Source organism: Homo sapiens, chromosome 14 (assembly GCF_000001405.40).
Source record: "Homo sapiens chromosome 14, GRCh38.p14 Primary Assembly".
Classification (NCBI taxonomy): domain Eukaryota; kingdom Metazoa; phylum Chordata; class Mammalia; order Primates; family Hominidae; genus Homo; species Homo sapiens.
In genome coordinates this window covers 68671044-68687479 of record NC_000014.9, presented here as the reverse complement: position 1 = coordinate 68687479, position 16436 = coordinate 68671044, and the positions used below count along the sequence as shown (strand labels likewise).

At 45.2% G+C, this 16436-nt stretch overlaps 1 protein-coding gene and 1 long non-coding RNA gene across 3 annotated transcripts in view, besides 6 other annotated features; one reads left to right on the top strand and one right to left on the bottom strand.

Annotated features, from left to right (window-relative positions):
• Window positions 1703-1752: an enhancer, noted in NCBI's record as "active region_8612". NCBI's record gives its function as "activates an Ori minimal core promoter by ATAC-STARR-seq in GM12878 lymphoblastoid cells {active_cell/tissue: GM12878}" and the evidence as "EXISTENCE:reporter gene assay evidence [ECO:0000049][PMID:35858748]".
• Window positions 2040-16436, top strand: part of RAD51B-AS1 (RAD51B antisense RNA 1) — a 49673-nt gene continuing 35276 nt past the window's right edge. Inside the window, exons 1-3 of one of the 2 annotated variants that reach the window (XR_007064221.1) lie at window positions 2040-2109; window positions 4154-4271; window positions 7518-13006. This is a non-coding gene — a long non-coding RNA (RAD51B antisense RNA 1). Of the gene's footprint in view, window positions 2110-4153; window positions 4272-7517; window positions 13007-16436 lie in introns of those variants that run through there. The other variant, XR_007064220.1, reaches the window with a different exon arrangement.
• Window positions 3336-3880: an enhancer, noted in NCBI's record as "H3K27ac-H3K4me1 hESC enhancer chr14:69150317-69150861 (GRCh37/hg19 assembly coordinates)". NCBI's record gives its function as "activates a minimal SCP1, AML or CMV promoter by ChIP-STARR-seq in primed H9 embryonic stem cells {active_cell/tissue: H9 hESC(primed)}" and the evidence as "EXISTENCE:reporter gene assay evidence [ECO:0000049][PMID:30033119]".
• Window positions 3881-4426: an enhancer, noted in NCBI's record as "H3K27ac-H3K4me1 hESC enhancer chr14:69149771-69150316 (GRCh37/hg19 assembly coordinates)". NCBI's record gives its function as "activates a minimal SCP1, AML or CMV promoter by ChIP-STARR-seq in primed H9 embryonic stem cells {active_cell/tissue: H9 hESC(primed)}" and the evidence as "EXISTENCE:reporter gene assay evidence [ECO:0000049][PMID:30033119]".
• The window catches only part of RAD51B (RAD51 paralog B), an 863318-nt gene continuing 851265 nt past the window's right edge, over window positions 4384-16436 (bottom strand). The window contains exon 11 of the mRNA NM_001321818.2: window positions 4384-4543. Coding sequence (NP_001308747.1) covers window positions 4536-4543 — 8 coding nt within the window. The 3' untranslated portion in view covers window positions 4384-4535. The remainder of the gene's footprint in view (window positions 4544-16436) is intronic.
• Window positions 10154-10654: an enhancer, noted in NCBI's record as "H3K4me1 hESC enhancer chr14:69143543-69144043 (GRCh37/hg19 assembly coordinates)". NCBI's record gives its function as "activates a minimal SCP1, AML or CMV promoter by ChIP-STARR-seq in naive H9 embryonic stem cells {active_cell/tissue: H9 hESC(naive)}" and the evidence as "EXISTENCE:reporter gene assay evidence [ECO:0000049][PMID:30033119]".
• Window positions 10655-11155: an enhancer, noted in NCBI's record as "H3K4me1 hESC enhancer chr14:69143042-69143542 (GRCh37/hg19 assembly coordinates)". NCBI's record gives its function as "activates a minimal SCP1, AML or CMV promoter by ChIP-STARR-seq in naive H9 embryonic stem cells {active_cell/tissue: H9 hESC(naive)}" and the evidence as "EXISTENCE:reporter gene assay evidence [ECO:0000049][PMID:30033119]".
• Window positions 15134-15428: a silencer, noted in NCBI's record as "tiled region #15027; HepG2 Repressive non-DNase unmatched - State 23:Low, and K562 Repressive non-DNase unmatched - State 23:Low". NCBI's record gives its function as "represses a minimal TATA promoter and a strong SV40 promoter by Sharpr-MPRA in HepG2 and K562 cells {active_cell/tissue: HepG2 | K562}" and the evidence as "EXISTENCE:reporter gene assay evidence [ECO:0000049][PMID:27701403]".

The window sequence follows — 16436 nt, the reverse complement described above, 5'->3', positions numbered from 1 at the left end:
CTGCAAGCTCCGCCTCCCAGGTTCACGCCATTCTCCTGCCTCAGCCTCCCGAGTAGCTGGGACTACAGGCGCCCGCCACCACGCCCGGCTAATTTTTTTGTATTTTTAATAGAGACGGGGTTTCACTGCGTTAGCCGGGATGGTCTCGATCTCCTGACCTTGTGATCCACCCATCTCGGCCTCCCGCCCAACTTTTTTTAGGTGTTTCTTCTCCATATGAAATCATGATGTGAGGACATCGACATGCCTTCTTCTGGGGGCACAATGCTTTTGTCTTTAAAGTTTTCTTTGTGCAGTTCCACTTCTGGATATAGTATTGAAAGGAGGGACAGATATTTGTACCCCCAAGTCCACGGCAGCATTATCCACAATAGCCAAAAGGCGGAAACAACCAAGTGTCCATCACAGATGAATGGATGAACAAAACGTGCTACATGCACACACACACACACACACGCACGCATGCACCTGCACACGCACACACACACATGCACCTGCACATGCACACACAATGGAATAGTATTCAGCCTTCAAGAGGAATGAAATTTTGACACATGCTACAACATGGATGAAACTTGAGGACATTGTGCTAAGTGAAACAAGCCCGTCACACAAGAACCCTGCGTGACTCCACGTATGCAAGGTACTTAGAGTAGTCAAAATCATAAAGATGAAAAGGAGAATGGTAGTTGCCAGGGGCTGTGAGGAGGGGAAAGAGGAGTCAGTGTTTAATGGGCACAGAGTTTCAGTTTGGAAAGATGAAAAAGTTCTGGAGAGAGATGACGGGGAAGCTTATACAACGATGTGAATGTACTTAATGCCACTGAATTGTACACTTAAACATGGGTAAAATGGTAGCTTTTACGTTAGGTATATTTTACCAGGATAAAAAGTTTTTTGTGTTTGAAAATATACCCTCTAATAGACTCAGAGTTGCTGACAGGCCCTCTCCATGGGTTGATGTAACCGTCTCCTTACCTCAAGACGAGGTTGACCCATCCAAGATTGGAGGGAACTTATCCTATTTTCAGATTATTTCCAGGGAAGGGAGCCCATGACATTATTAGGCAATCTTTTCCAGTGTCTCAAAACCCCAGACATTCTGGGTACCAGACCTTTCCTGCTGCACCTGAAGTTGATTTTCCTTGGTCAGTAAGTGCTTTGTCAGGCCACAGACTTTTCATGCACTCAAAGGCTCTAGTTACACCATCCCTAGCGTAGATCTGATGGTGCCAAGTAACAAGCCAGCAAGTGGACTTTGGAGGCCCAGCAAGCCTCCCTGTCTCACAGGCTTCTCATCAGTATAATGGATAAACAGTGCGAGGCTTGGATTCCTAAGCAGTCCTGGGACACAGGCCCCGCCAGGCCCTGGCAGGTGAAGAGCCTACCATTTCTCACTTCATTTAGGATGTATAATAGTTTGTTGGACGCTAGAACTGTACCCTTTCAGATCTGTGTCTTTACTTTTCAGCTGGAGGCCTCTTGCTGACAGGGTAGCGTTTCCCAAAGACACGGGAGCTGAGCTGGTGAGTCATTTCAACAGCCCTTACACTCTCCTCTGACCAGAGACCACATGACATATTAATCAGCTGCTTGAAAGGTATACCTGGCAGGCATGTTTCCTGCAGCCTGGAAGATGCTGACCTCGTCAGCTTTGAAACATCAAAGGGCTAACAAGAGAACAACAGGCTGAGAAAGACCTCATCACCTGGGTGCCTGTTGACCGCAGCCTTGTAAGGCCCAACACAGCTGAGATGTGCTGTCTGGAGCTCGGAGGAAGTGGAGCTTTTTCTGCTGTGAGGACCCGCCTTCAGCCCCCTTTTGGGGCACAGGAAGGGGAGGGAGTGAGCCTAAATTGTGGCCCCATGCTTAGTGACTCAGATGTTACTGCTACCACAAAGGGAAATTCATGTGGGGGTGGACATCTCCAGAGACCTCACTCACCTGTGATTTGGGGGATAATAGCATCACTCATGTGTTCACGTGCCAGGCCTGTCACCCCGGAACATTAGTCAAAGGGCTGTGTTGACAGTGATTTCAACTCTTGAATTATACGAAGGACCTGGCCGCAAGAAGGCATTGAGCCCCGAGGAGGACAACAGGCCTCAGGTACTTCATGTGATTAAAGCTGAGACAAGGGGAGTCCCATGGGTCAGTCCTGTAACTGGGGTCTGATATACACTAGTGATAGGCATTAGCATAGTTTGCACATTATATGATAGTCTTGGTCCTTTTCATTTCCTGATAAGCTGGAATGTCTGACAGAGTAAATTCCAGATGCCCTTGTGGAATTCTCATTACGATCATGTTGCTAAGGAACTGTCTTCTACCTGTATGCAATTTGGAAATACTATTAATAGTATTAACATGGAGTTTTGCAGTGTGTGGGTTTATTTCTTATTGTATTTATAATCACCCCCACCACTACCTTCCCACCGCTGGCTCACCATCTGAGGAGCTGGCATCAGGAAACTCAAGAAAGAAGGAAGGAAGGAAGGAAGGAAGGAAGGAAGGAAGGAAAGAAGGAAGGAAGGAAGGGAAAGGTTGTCCAGGCTTCACAGGAAGAACTGCATTTGTATTATTCTGTATTGAATTCTCAGGACCTCCACATTGCAGGCATCTAGAGGCTCCAATTAATAGTTGATAAATCTTGAAGGGAGGAAAAAATAGTCACAGAAAGTTCACTTGAGTGACCTGAAATTCTATAGCAATTTAGCCAGGGAGCCGGGAGGAGAATATGCCCTTCCAACTTGCAGGCCAGCTCTCTGCAGGAAGCCAGGCAGCTCTCCCAGGGGAAGCAGTGGCCAGGGCAAGCATGGGTCTTGAAGCTCAGGACTGGCTTTAGGACTCTGGCTCAGACAAGATGGGTGGCTCAAAGGTATTGAAGGGCTAGGTAGGGCCCTGAAAATTGGGCCTTTCTGCAGCAATCATCAGGGAGACTAATGGTCCTGGGCTAGGGAAGGAGTCTTCTTGGCCCAGAATGGCCAAGCAGCCAAATATTAGAGCACCTCCAGGGAGGTGTCCCTGGAAAGGGTCCTCCCCCAGTCAGCTCCTGCGGAGTGCAGGCAGGTTTGGGGGTCTCTCCTCTAGGAGAGATCCAGGGAGCTTGAGAGCAAAAGTGACAATGTGCCTGCCTTCTTCCTTCTCTGTAGGGCTCTGTTCTCTTTCTTCTTTTTTGAGGCAGGATCTTTTGCTTTATTGTCCAGGTTGGAGTGCAGTGGCATGATCACGGCTCACTGCAGCCTCAGCCTCCTGGGCTCAAGCAATCCTCCCACCTCAGCTTCCTGAGTAGCTGAGACCATGCCTGGCTAATTTTTAAGTTTTTTTGTAGAGACGAGGTCTCATTGTGTTGCCCAGGCTGGTCTTGAACTCCTGGGCTCAAGCAATTCTCCCACCTCAGCCTCCCAAAGCACTGGGATTATAGGCGTGAGCCACTGTGTCTGGCCTGCTCTCTTTCTTAAGGAGAAGGCTTCTGTTATTTTTTGGTCAATTGGGTGCAGAAAGCCTGTTCCCCATGGACAACCCTTGAGGGGGTCAGAATGTCAGCAGAAGGGAAAGGATGGCTTTCCAAGAGTGTTCTGTGCTTGGGCATAACCGTCTCTTGTGTCCTGCTCCTGAGAGCCATGAGACTAAGAGCATGGGACAGAGGCAGTGACTGAACTGGGCTTGAGAACACCTTTGTTTGCTGGGCCTGTTTTCCTACCAAGAGCCTGTCAGCCCGGGTTTTGGAAGGCCAATCCAGGAGAATACGGGAGGTTGCAGGCAGCTCTGACCAGCCTGTCTCTCCCCACCCCTTGTTTCAGACCTCTCCAGAGTCCGATGTCCTTCTGCACAAGTCCTTGTTGTCCAGTCTGTGGCCCAAACACCCACAGGGCATGGTGGAGGCCTGAGACAGTGCTGGTTTTGCTGGGGCCATCAGAAAAGCTTACGAAGCAGGCTCGGCCATTGGCTGGAAGTCACTAGCCCCTGCTGGGCTCATGCAATACTCATGGAACTGGTGTGGGCTCCTGCGGGTTCCCTATGAGCAATGCCTCACCCATTTAAAGCTCGTCAAAGGACTTGTTCAATATCCTGGGTCCCTTTCTGTTCATTTTTTCTCTCCCCCCGTGCTGTCCTCCTTCAACTTTCCCCGACCACCCCTCCTCTTTTTAAGCTCTTGGCACCAAGTAACTATGAAGACTCTGAGAACTGGACCATCCCAAGGCTGTAGCTTTCTTCAAGCCTGGCAGGCTCTGTCGTGGTGAAGAGTCTGAAGGCTTTTTCTTTTCCAGGTAAGCTGGGGAGAGGGTTTGAAGAGCACTGTGAAATTATGACTCTTTCTTCTTTATTTTCTTTTCCCTCTCTGGGCCTAAGACACCAGATTTTTTTTTTTTTTACAGTACGTTTTGGCAGGCCCCATTTTTTTTCTGACAGAAAAAAATAACAGGCATATTTTGGGCGATTACTCAACTGGGGTCCTTTGTGACAGGATATGCTGCTGCGTGACTAATGGAGCTGGCTTTCTCCTGGCTTCCTTCCCCTTTCAGAGCTCTTGTTTACTGCCCTATACAAAAAAAAAAAAAAAAAAAAGCCATAAGCTACAGATTTTTATTAAAAAAAAAAAAGCCTTGTGAGATACTCAAAGGCAATAAATCCTTCAGAGATTCCATTTCCAGGGCTGCAAACTCCCCGCCCTCTCCCCACTTTTTCTTTTCAGTGCTCAAGATTCACGACATGCGAATCTTCTTCCACCCCCACGTCCCTGCTTTCTTCCTAACATATGTCCAGCTGATCGTGGGGGGCGGGGAGGGCGGGGGAAGGGGAGCAGGATGGGAACCATATTTATGGTGCTTAACTCAGCAATTGCTAAAGGAAGAAATAATGACTTCCAGGGGGCTCTGGGCCTTTTTTCCAAGGCCTTTGTGTTTTCGTAATCTATGACAATTTTGTGGTGTAAGCAAAAGTTATTACAAAACATGGAACCAGCCTAATGAGGAAGGTTATGTTCTAAACCAGGAGGGACTATCTCTTTATAGAGGAAATTCAAATTTGGCTGGCTTTGGAATTCGGAATCCCTGGGCTTTCCAGAGAACTTTTGGGAGAGACTCTCTCGAGCTTGGTGTGTCTGACAACTGGAACTGGCCTTTCAGTTTTTCTAGAGATCAGATGGTTTGTTATTTCAAAAGGTGTCTGGCCTATGGATGGGAAAAGTTGACTAGCTAGTTAGGTTTACCGGAGACAGATTGGTGTAGATAGGGCACCAGACTTGTGGCCAGGCGATGGGTTTGAGTCTCAGTTGTAATCTGGAGCAAGTAATTTAATATCTGTAGGTCTCAGTTGCTTTGGTGTTAAAATTGGGATTGTGTCCCCTTCCCTCTAGGCTGCTGACAAAAAAAAAGTGAGATGACATAAGTTTAAGGCACGGTGGGAATTCTTTTTTTTAATGTTAATATTTTTGGGGGTACGAGTGGTTTTTGGTTACATGGATAAGTTCTTCAGTGGTGATTTCTGCGATTTTGATGCTCCCATCACCCAAGCAGTGTACACGGTGCCCAAGGTGTAATCTTTTATCCCTCACCCCACTCCCAACCTGCTCCACTCCCCAGTCCCCAAAGTCCACTATATCTTTCATATGCATGGCATGTATGCATTCTTGACAATTAAAGAAGTATGCAGTGATCCCTTCTAATGCTTCTTCATGCAAAGGGCTGGCTCACACTTTCAACAGAGGAGAGAGGCTGAGAACTACAAAGCCTACTGATGAACAGGAGGGAGGTTATTTATACAGTGGCCCAGGACACGATATTACACAGGTGTTTGGGAGGCTGGTTTTGCTTCCAAGTTTGCCCACTCCCTGGTCATCTTCCAGGCAGGTCTTAGAATCATAACTTTGATCACATTCCTTCCCTACCCAGGAAACTCTCTTGTCAAACCCAGACAAAAGGCACCTGCCTGCTCCATCTTGCCTGCCTTTTCTTCTGTAACTAAATCATCTTATGCCCTCACTCTCCGTCTTAGCAAAGTGAACACTGGACGCACAGTTTAGCCACTTGCCCGATGTTTTCATGGTACGTTGCTTGGAGGCCCTTGTTCCTCCTTCACCTTCCTATTCCTCTTCCTCCTCCTCTCTCTTACATCTTGTTCATTTGTCATTTCTTATAAGATCCTACTTCAACTTCACCCCTCTCTGACTCTCCGCTGATTTGGAACACCTCGAGTAGACACTCCAAACCCTCTGATAAACCCTAGCAACTATCTTTTTTCAGTCTCCACAATTCAAAAATCGAATAATGCCCTAGGTAAAGGCAGCTGACTTGACTTCTCCAGAAGGTAAACTGAGGCCCACCCAGGGAACAAACTGGACAGAGATTACTGTACAGGATTACTGGACAGAGTAAATCCATGACAGACAAAAATAAAAACCCTGCATCCTGATTCCAGTTTGCCTGGAGTTTAAAAAGAGGTTCTTTAGCTTGAATATCCCAGAATAGCCTCTCCTGGGCTGACCAGCTGTGAAGTGATGTGTTGCAAGGGTTATTTTTTTGCCTTGGCTTAACTCTTAAAAAAACACCCCAAACTCCCAAAATCGGCCTAAAAAAAGCCATTTCTCACAATGTCATCTGCTTGCCAAGTTTAAACTTAGTATATTACATTATGAACGCCTCTGGGCCTCACTCTCAGCTTACTGCGACGCTCAGGTATCTGAATTGAGTTCAGAAATCACAGTTTATTGAAGGAAACAGATCATTAAGTCACTCCACTGGACTGAAGCTGTTGACGTTGTTTATTTGGAGAAACTGGGCATTGACTAATGTTCTCTTGATTTGCGTGGATCAGGACTAACTGGAGCTATTTAACAAAGGGTGTGGCCATCAGATAGCATGGGACCCATCTGGGCTAACGGGAAGAGGAACGGGACGGTGGTGTGCTGAAGCTTGCATTGGCTTGTGAAAGCTGATTGGTAAATTTTCAGGAATTTTGCAAGCTGGCTGTGGAACACAGCCATTGTTAAAAATTAAATGATATAAACATATAATTAATTATATTTTAAAAAGGTAATAAATACTAACAACAGATCAGATCCTAATTTTTTTAAACTACAGTTTACTATCATCTATGTGCTTGAGTTATGTTTATTACACATATGGTGGGAAGACTGTAGCGTAGTATACTACTGACTCTCTTCCCAATTCCACAGTCAGTAACATCACATTGGTAGCTTGAAATTGGCCGTGGTGAGAATATTTACACCACAGAAATTGGCACACTCTATACTCAGGGCTTGATTTATTGTTGTGTTGATTATCTAGACTTATGGAAGTGCTAGAGAAAATGTTAATACAGTAAGATTAGACGTAAAAGTGTGCCGTGTCTGTAGCAGTGACATTGTGAATCACATAATATATTGAGGTAATATTTTTCTAGTTTTTGAAAACGATTACCTGATTCAGCAAAAAAGTGGCTCATATGGAAAAAAAACCAGTGAAGTTCCAAAATGCGTCTTTGTTGTTTCACTTTTATCTTACTTATTATTGTAGATGTAATTATTAACCAACATTCACATCAGATTCACAATTGGAAACCCAGCTGTTAAACATTTACCAGCACACTACTGGAAAGAAGTGCATATGGACTACTCGCTTGGGATTCCAGAAGAAAGAACGTTATAGAACACCTACAACTTGGCAATCAGGGGCCTGAGGTACAGCTGAAGTACAGCTGTGGAAGAGGAGATGCTAATTCCTGGAGAGAGAGCAACACAGATTTTACAGTCAGCAGCCAGAGACTACCCTCAGAACAGGAATGTGAAAAATAAACCAGATATGCTGAACTGGATACCAACAAGGTTAAATGGTGGAAAAGCCATAATCACTTCTAAATTCAAGGGTAGGATTAATACTGTATTTTCACAGTACCTGAAAGTTCTGTGGCCTTTCCTAGACACCAGTTCATGTGATCACCAGAACAGAACTGAGGTTGAGGGGAAAGTTAGCTATCAGCATTGGGCCCATTTTACAGATGGGAAACTGAGGCAGTGGAAGGTAAAGTAGTTTGCCCAAGGTTACTGTTTCTGCATAAATGGCTGCCCTGGGACTAGATGGGAACAGAACTACCACAGACTTGTGGGTCAGACATACTTTGGTTAAAAACTCAACCTTGACATTTATGTAATGTTGGTAATGTTACTTTACCTTTTTAAGCCTGGGGTTTTTTGTTTGTTTGTTTGTTTGTTTGTTTGTTTAAACTTACAAAATGGGGAGGATAAAGCCTAGATCATAAGTTTGCAGTGAGGGTTAGTTTAAGGAGATGATAGGTGCAAAGGACCTGGTGCTCGGGAAGCCTTTGCACCTCCCACCGTGTACTTACATTACTTACATTTGATTTTGAAATATAGTATAAGACTGCTTTGGCTAACATATTTACTTTTCTAATTATATTTGTTGGGTTTAGGTTAATTACTCTGCATGGCCTTAGGCCAGACCAATTTGAGGGGGTGGGGGCAGGGGCAGGGAGGAGGGAGAAGGGAGAAGGGAAGAGGTGGGTCAGAAGAGGAAATCTGGTTATGATTCCTGTGAAGGTGGAGGTGGAGCTGGAGCATCTGGGCAGGGGAAGAATTAAAATTTCGTAAAGGGCTCCTTCACTCACTGATAATTGGAGATAATCTGTATACACTATCATGTTCAACAAGGCCATTTCATGCCACAGAAGCTAGAGTTCCAGATGGACTGCCTCTGCCTAGACCTAGGGCTCCATATCACCACCAGCAGAAATGAGAAGGCTTGGAGACCTCTGTGCCCCTGAAACCCTCACGGCCTCACCAGCACTCTCTGCCTTGGAACAAGACCCATCCCCATGAAAAGCTGAGGCCTCAGGTCATCCCTCAGCTGCCAGGGCAGGGAGGCAGCCACCCCCCTACTTCCCAGGGCCCTCACTCCTCCTTCTGGATGGGCCTTTCTTCTTACAGCTTGTCAGCACTAGGCATGCTATTAATTCACTAGACTGTAATCTCTGTGAGGGCAGGGGTTTTTATTTAATGTGAGACCTAGAACAGTGCTAGAGACACAGAAAGCTCTCAATAAATAGTGGCTCAAAGAAGAGCGTAAAGTGAGTCATCCTCACCTTTTGTTTTCTCTTTCAAATAACAATTCATTCTTTGATCAAGCTCAACAGGTTCAGATTTGGCTCAGGGCACACAAGGGTAAACCGAGGAGGTAAGGGTGTTGTCAAAGACTTGAGGGGGTGTTCACTGCAAAAACAGGCGTCTCTGAGGATGGGCCATGGACCAGCCGACATGGACTGAACGAGGTGGTGGAGCTCAGCGGTTAAGAACGTGGTGGTTCAAATCCAGGCCCCGCCATTTATTAGCTATGTAACCTTGGGCAAGTTATTTTATCTCTGAGTCTCATATTCCTTATCTGTAAAATGTGGATAAAAATATCCACCTCTTAAAGTTGTAGTGCAGGTTAACGAGATAAAGCATGGCGAATGCTTAGCACGGAGCCTGGCACGGGAAAGGGAGCCAGTATTCATGGCACTATGGAGGTGGAGGTGGAGCTGGAGCATTTGGGTAGGGGGAAAAACACAGCTGGAAGAGCTGGGAAAAAGGCCAGCCTGCAGAAGACCTCTGTGTACTCGGATGGCATCTTATCAGCCTGCAATGGGGCCCTGCAAAGAGGCCTACAGCAGTAACACCTACCCAAGAGGACCTGGCTGTAGCATGGGGACTGACACCATCATGGCCCTAGCTAGATCCAGAAGCCACTGGAATGACGCCAATGCCTTACTACACGGATGGTGTCTTCCCTTGGGCAAAATAACCACAAACATGCCTCAACACGTAAGACAGTATATACGGGGGAGGACACCCACGCTGAAGCCATGCCCAAGAATAAAGGACACAAGGTTTCACAAGATACCCTGAGTTGAGAACTACAGGGTTTAGAACCAAGGAGGAGCAAAAGGGCAAACGGGTGAGGTGATGTAATTTTACTTCCAGGAAGATAGTTGTGGTTTCATTACAGGAGATGGGTTTTCAGTGGGCATCTAAAGGAGAGGGGCTTGGAAGAGAAGAGACACTACATACTGGAGGGAGCACGTATGAAAATGTTATGTCCAATGTGAAGAGGCCCGGGCCGGAGCAGCAGTGCAATAGCAGGGTGCGCAAGGAATCTCTCCCGCCTCCAAGCGGGGCCCAAATGCATCCATCACTGGGCAAATGAATATTCTGCCCTGGATACTGATGGGGTCCTCTGAACTTGTTCCCCAGGGTGAGCCTGATTTAGGCTCAAGAAGTCCCCATTCTGCTTGATATTTTAAATGGCATAGGTACCCAAAACAGCATGGTATATGGGAAGATAGACCTGGAATAGGGGACAGTAGACTTGATTTGAGGTTCCAGAAATCATTTTCCAGCTTTAATTTTGAGCCTCAGTTTCCTCATCTATGACAGGGGGGAGCATAGCTGGCTCCCCTCACAAGCCCCTCATGATGAACCTCTGGGGCCTTTGGCTGTGGGAGCTCCACGCTTTGTGCTTCCAAGGACCAGTCACTTCAGCAGGCCCCCCGCCCAGCCTAGTGTGGCGCTGCAAGAAGAGCACAGCTTCTCTGGTTAATCCTGACCTCACGCTGGCCCTGCCTGCATGTGGAGACACAGTCTCTGGCTCCTGGGCGGGGACGCCCGTCATCCAGTCAGTGCAGCTCAGGAGCTAAGCTCATGAATGGACGCCTGCAAAACACACTGGGCTCTTTGCTTGAAAGCCACCAGAGCAAGACAAAGGATGCCTTCCCTGGCTGGATTCCTCAGCAGGGGGCTTGCCACACCTGCCTCCTCCAGAAGCGCCTGTGCAGGTGTAGACATGTACACCTTCCTGAACGTTGGCTCTGCCCCACCTAGTGTGCAGTGCAGATGCAAATTCCACTCTCTTGCAGCTACTTCTTGCAACTGCAGGCATGTCACGTAGCCCTAACTCCCCGGCTTTAGTTTCCAGAACTACAAAGCAGGAGCCACAGACACTCTAAACTCCCTGCCTTCTAGCAAATCTCCTAAAAGTTATTATGGATTGTTTCTGATCCTCTGGGACCTCCGTGGGTCAGCTTGCATTCCCAAACCAAATGCAGCCACTTGCCTTGGTCTAGCTTGCTTGGTGTCCCCAAATGTGGCTTACTATGAGGGTCTACAGCCAGCTTGCTGTGGTGGGGTTCTAGCTTCCATGTACCAGCTGAATGACCCAGGGCAAGGCACTTTAACCTCTCTGTGCCTAGGTTTCCTCGTCTCTAAAGTGGGATCATAGTTGCACTTACCCCATAGGCTGTAACATATGCAGTATGAACTCATGCGTTTGAGTTGAGTTAATTATATGAGTTAACACAAGTGTATGAGCTCATACTATACATGTAAAATGCTTAAACCAGTGCCTGGCACATAGTAAGAATCATTATAAGTGAAATAATAGTAATAATGATAGTAGGTATTATTATTCATGTTCCACCCCAATTATCATTCTAGTTCCATTTTTCTGACTTTCTCACCATAGCCTCAAGGCCTGGCCCTATCTGCCCTAGGTTGACTACTGCCATAAGCACTCCAAGGCTCACAGAAGCAGGGGATGGAAGAGAGGTTGAATGAAGCAGGTGGAGATGGAGGATTGAGAAGAGGATGTGGCTGGGCTGGAGGAGCAGGGAGAAGATAAAGACCATTAGAAATAGGATGAGAGAACAATGCCTGGGCTAACCCTCTCGGAGCTCTGAAGGCCCAAGGCAATGGCACAGTGTCTGTGGAATTGTCCCCATCTCTGGAGTCCCCCAGTATCTACCTTAATCTGATGTGTGTACCACAATGGAATAGAATGAATTAAACTTGAAGGACAGTTTATTCCTCAAGGCAGGTGGGAACTCCATCAAATGGAATTGAACAGCATTGGAAAGTGAGTGTATTAGCTGTATTTCTTCTCCTTTGACTTAGAATGGAAGGTTGAGAAGAACTGTGGCCTGTTCAACCCCAGGCCTTCTCTTAGCACTTTGTGTTACTGTGTTGGGGGCCAAAAAGGAATCAGGCATATCCTAGATGCCTAAGCAAGCTGTGAGAATAGGAGGGCCGTCTCATGCCCATTTGCCTGGACACTGAGTCACTTCCCTCTGTCATTCCTAAACCATCCTGTGGCACCATGTTGGATCTGTGCCAGATAAGTTCAGGAGACTTGGATTCTCCTCAAACTATGTCTCAGAAAAGCAGAGCCCTAACCCAGATTGTTTTAGACCCCTCCCCAACTCCCTGTGTTTGTTACTGACACCCTAGTCCCTGAGATAATCATCCCAAGAAAGGGAGGCAGGAGAGGCCTTGCTTGTCTACCTGCTACCTTTGTCCTCTCTCTCCTTTGCTTCTCCTCCAGGCTGGGCAGAGCTGTCTACTTTCCCTTGCTATCTGAGGGGAAGTTTTATTAGGCTGTCGACTGTCTTTTCTGAACTATGGCTTATGGTAAAGTCCCATTATCAGACCATCTGACTTGGCACTTTAAAGGAAGATTTTAAAATTTAGAAGTCTTTCCACAAAGCCTCTAGCAACTCAAGAGGGTTAGCATGGACCCCCAAGGCTGAGCAGCGGCCCATCGTCCAGGTGGCGTCCCCTTCCACAGGGAGAAGTGGGTCTGTGGCTGGGAAACCATAGCATGGCATGCCTTACAAGGGAAAGAGGGAACAGTGGTTTAAGACGCTCATTGGTGATACCCCTGGTCTACTTATGGAACATATGCCCCATTACACACATACCCCTGTGTAATGGGACTTCCCATTTTATACTTAGGGGTGTATATTTAAATAAGTGAGGGGGGCATACAACAAATGAAAGTACTCTTTTCTGAATGCTGAGAATATGCATGATTTTCACTTTTTCTTTTACTCATACACATTTTCTGACTTTCTACAACCAGTATGTTACCTTAGGATAGAAATAAAAAAATAAAATTGGTAACATTATATGTTATATAAAATTTTAATTAAAATATATATTCATTAAATATATCTAAAAAGACTTCTATATACCTCCTCATTTATATATTATACGATACATAATGTAACATATAATATGTATGATACATTAGAATACAGGTGACTACTCATAGAAAAATTCTGGAAGGAACACAATAACATGTTGTTTTCTAGTAGTGTTTTTCTGTATTTATTTTTGTAATTAGGAGGAAAACACGTGTGTATATGTAAGTATATACGTAAATGTGTGCATATATGTGTATATAGTGTGTACGTGTGTATACATATGTGTGTACACGTATATATGTATGTATATGTGTGTATGTGATGTATATGTGTATACAGTATGTGTGTATATATGTGTGTACAGTATTGTATATGTGTGTGTATGTGTGTATGCATGTATATATATGCAAGTGTGCGTATACCTGTGTACAGTATGTGTGTTTATGTGTATATGTGTGTGGATGTATATATGTGTGCATACAGTATGTGTATGTGTACATGTGTGGATGTATATATATGTGTGTACAGTATGTGTATGTGTGTGCATGTATAGATGTGTGTGTACAGTATGTGTGTGTGTGCACATATACATATGTGTGTGTACAGTATGTGTGTGCATGTATACATGTGTGTGCACAGTATGTGTACATGTATGAGTGTGCATGTACATATGTGTATGTACAGTATGTGTATGTGTGTACATGTATATATGTGTGCATATAGTATGTGTATGTGTACGTGTGTGGATGTATATATATGTGTGTACAGTATGTGTATGCGTGTGCATGTATAGATGTGTGTACAGTATGTGTATGTGTGTGCACATATACATATGTGTGTGCACAGTATGTGTATGTGTGTGCATGTATACATATGTGTGTGCACAGTATGTGTACGTGTGTGTGTGCATGTACATATGTGTATGTACAGTATGTGTATGTGTGTGCATACATATGTGTGTACATATGTATGTGTATGTGTGTGCGCGTACATATGTGTGTACATACATGTGTGTACAGTATGTGCATGTGTGTACATGTATATATGTGTGCATACAGTATGTGTACGTGTGTGCATGTATACATGTTTGCATACAGTATGTGTGTGTATGTGTGTGCATGTATATATTTGTGTGTACAGTGTGTTTATGTATGTGTGTTTATGTATATGTGTGCATACAATGTGTGTATGTGTGTGCATGTATATATATGTGTGTACATGCATGTCTTATGTGTATGTGTTTCACTATTTATGCTTCCTTTGGTGAAAACAAAACCTTCCAAGTTATTTTCAGATCATTTTTCTTGTTTGTTTTCCTGGTACAGATTAGCTATCTGCTTTTCTCAGCGTGAAAACAGGTACAACTTTTTTCCTGTGTTGATAGCTTCTAAATGTTGGACTTGGGCCTAAAGTGACTACAGGATTTTGTGCATGTTTAAGTTTGACCAATTCTGGCTAGTGCATGAAACCAGTCAGCACAGTTGAGTGAACTGTGGATGAACATCTAGAGTTGTTTACAAACAGCAAAAAACCCACCTAGTAGAGAATGTTCTGGACTTAATTCCTATGCATGAGGTACTGTGTTCTGTGGTTGCTGCCTGTCTTCAGGGGGATGTATTGCAGACTAATCAGGAGCACGATTCACAGTGCAAAGCAAGAGAAAGGTAATGCCTGTAACACCCTCTGAAGGGACACCATGAAGCTGCATCCTGGATGTCCAGGCCCCAGGGGAGATGAGTGCAATGATCTCATGGTTATTTTCCATCTCTTATGATCGATGGGATTTCCCTGATGCTTGTGTAGCTGTTTGCAATTTGTTCTTTGGCTAGTGCTTTCTAGATTGCTTTGAAGGAAAACACTGATTTCCCCATTTTATTCTGGGCTATATAACTAGCCAAGTTTTAGGTTCCCACCCTTTGTTTATAGATTTGCCTCAGGAATGATTATCCAATATAAAAATGGACCTGAGAGAAAGAAAGTTCTTAAATAGGTGGACCTAGACTCTCCAGAACCTCTGGCCAAGATGAGTTCATCTATAAATAAGGCCTCACTCTTCCAAACCCCAGCTCCTTTACCATTGGAGTTCTCTGACGGCAGAAAGGCCCTTGTCTCTGCCTAGAATTTTGAAATTCTCTGATGGAAGTTTTGGTGTAATGGCAAATGTCATTTTAAGGCCTCAGAATGTTTTCCACTCATCACAAGTCACCCTTCCATGAAGCAGTTCTTAAATCCTTCCCTAGCACTAGTAAGGATTGAGAAACAATAGAGGTTTCATGCTTTTGTCCAGATTGCATGGAAAGTTCCAGGGGTTACAGGAGGGAAGGATGGGGAGGAGAACAAAAACAGAACGTCTGGGTCTCAGGATATCCAGCTTAAAATATTAGCCTCTGGGACTCACAGCTTCAAACATGTCACTGAGTCTATAAATACCATTATCATCACCTGGAGTTGTAAAGTGAACATTGTTTAGCTTCTCTGGCTTTGCGTTTATGGTCTTGTTTGCCTGCTGGACACTGTCCACCCAACTGTCCTGTGGGATTCTAGGACTATCAAGGGACTGTCTGGAAAGGAAAACCCATTATACCACTGACCCCAAGAAGGCAGCACCTGGAACCACTCTCGCAGTTTTTGCTGAACATTATAGTTCTTCCTGGTTATGCATCTTTTTGATCACTTACATTTTTTTTTTTTGATAACCAGTCAAAGCCATCAGTATTTCCTAAGGCCCTACAGTGTTCAGAGCACTGTGGAGGCATCCTTGGGGCATATAAGGAATTCTGAGACAAGGTTAGGGGACACACAGATTCATTAAAGCCAACATATCTGAAACAGAACATACAAGGCGGTTTTCAATAATTAAACTGTCTATGGTAGGCAAAAAATGCAGTGAGCACAGGAGGGGCAATGTTAACTCCATGCTCCCCAGAGGTTGTCGGAGGCGGGGTGTTGGGGGAGAGAGCAGAGTTGAAGCTGGACCACTTAGAAGATGGGCACAGTCTAGACAGATATTTCAAGCAAAGGGAATGGAATGAGCAAGGACAAAGAGCAGGGATGGAGGAGGATAGGGGGTGGGTTTGTATGTCTGGCCAAGGTGAATCCACATAGGGGAGGGCATGGTACAGCAAACTGGAGATGTGGTAGGATAGGGTTACATTATGTAGGGCTTTGAAAGCTTCTTTTTCACTGTAAGTTCCTGTGCAATATTTTCCAAATAAAAACATGTTGCCAGCAGTGGCTTGTCTAAAAATCTGACATTTGCCTTGGACTTCTTCCTCCTATCTCCTTCCTCAACTGGCCCACCTAGTGTAAGTCTCAAAGCACACGGACCAACCCAGGATGGATGGTTTGCCCAGTTATCATGGGTGCCCCTTGGACAGTCCAAACTGGCTTTCCCTTGGCAGGGAGTTTCATTTTGCCAACAGAGCTAGACTGGGAAGAGACTGGATCAGGCGTTTGGGCTGTATCTC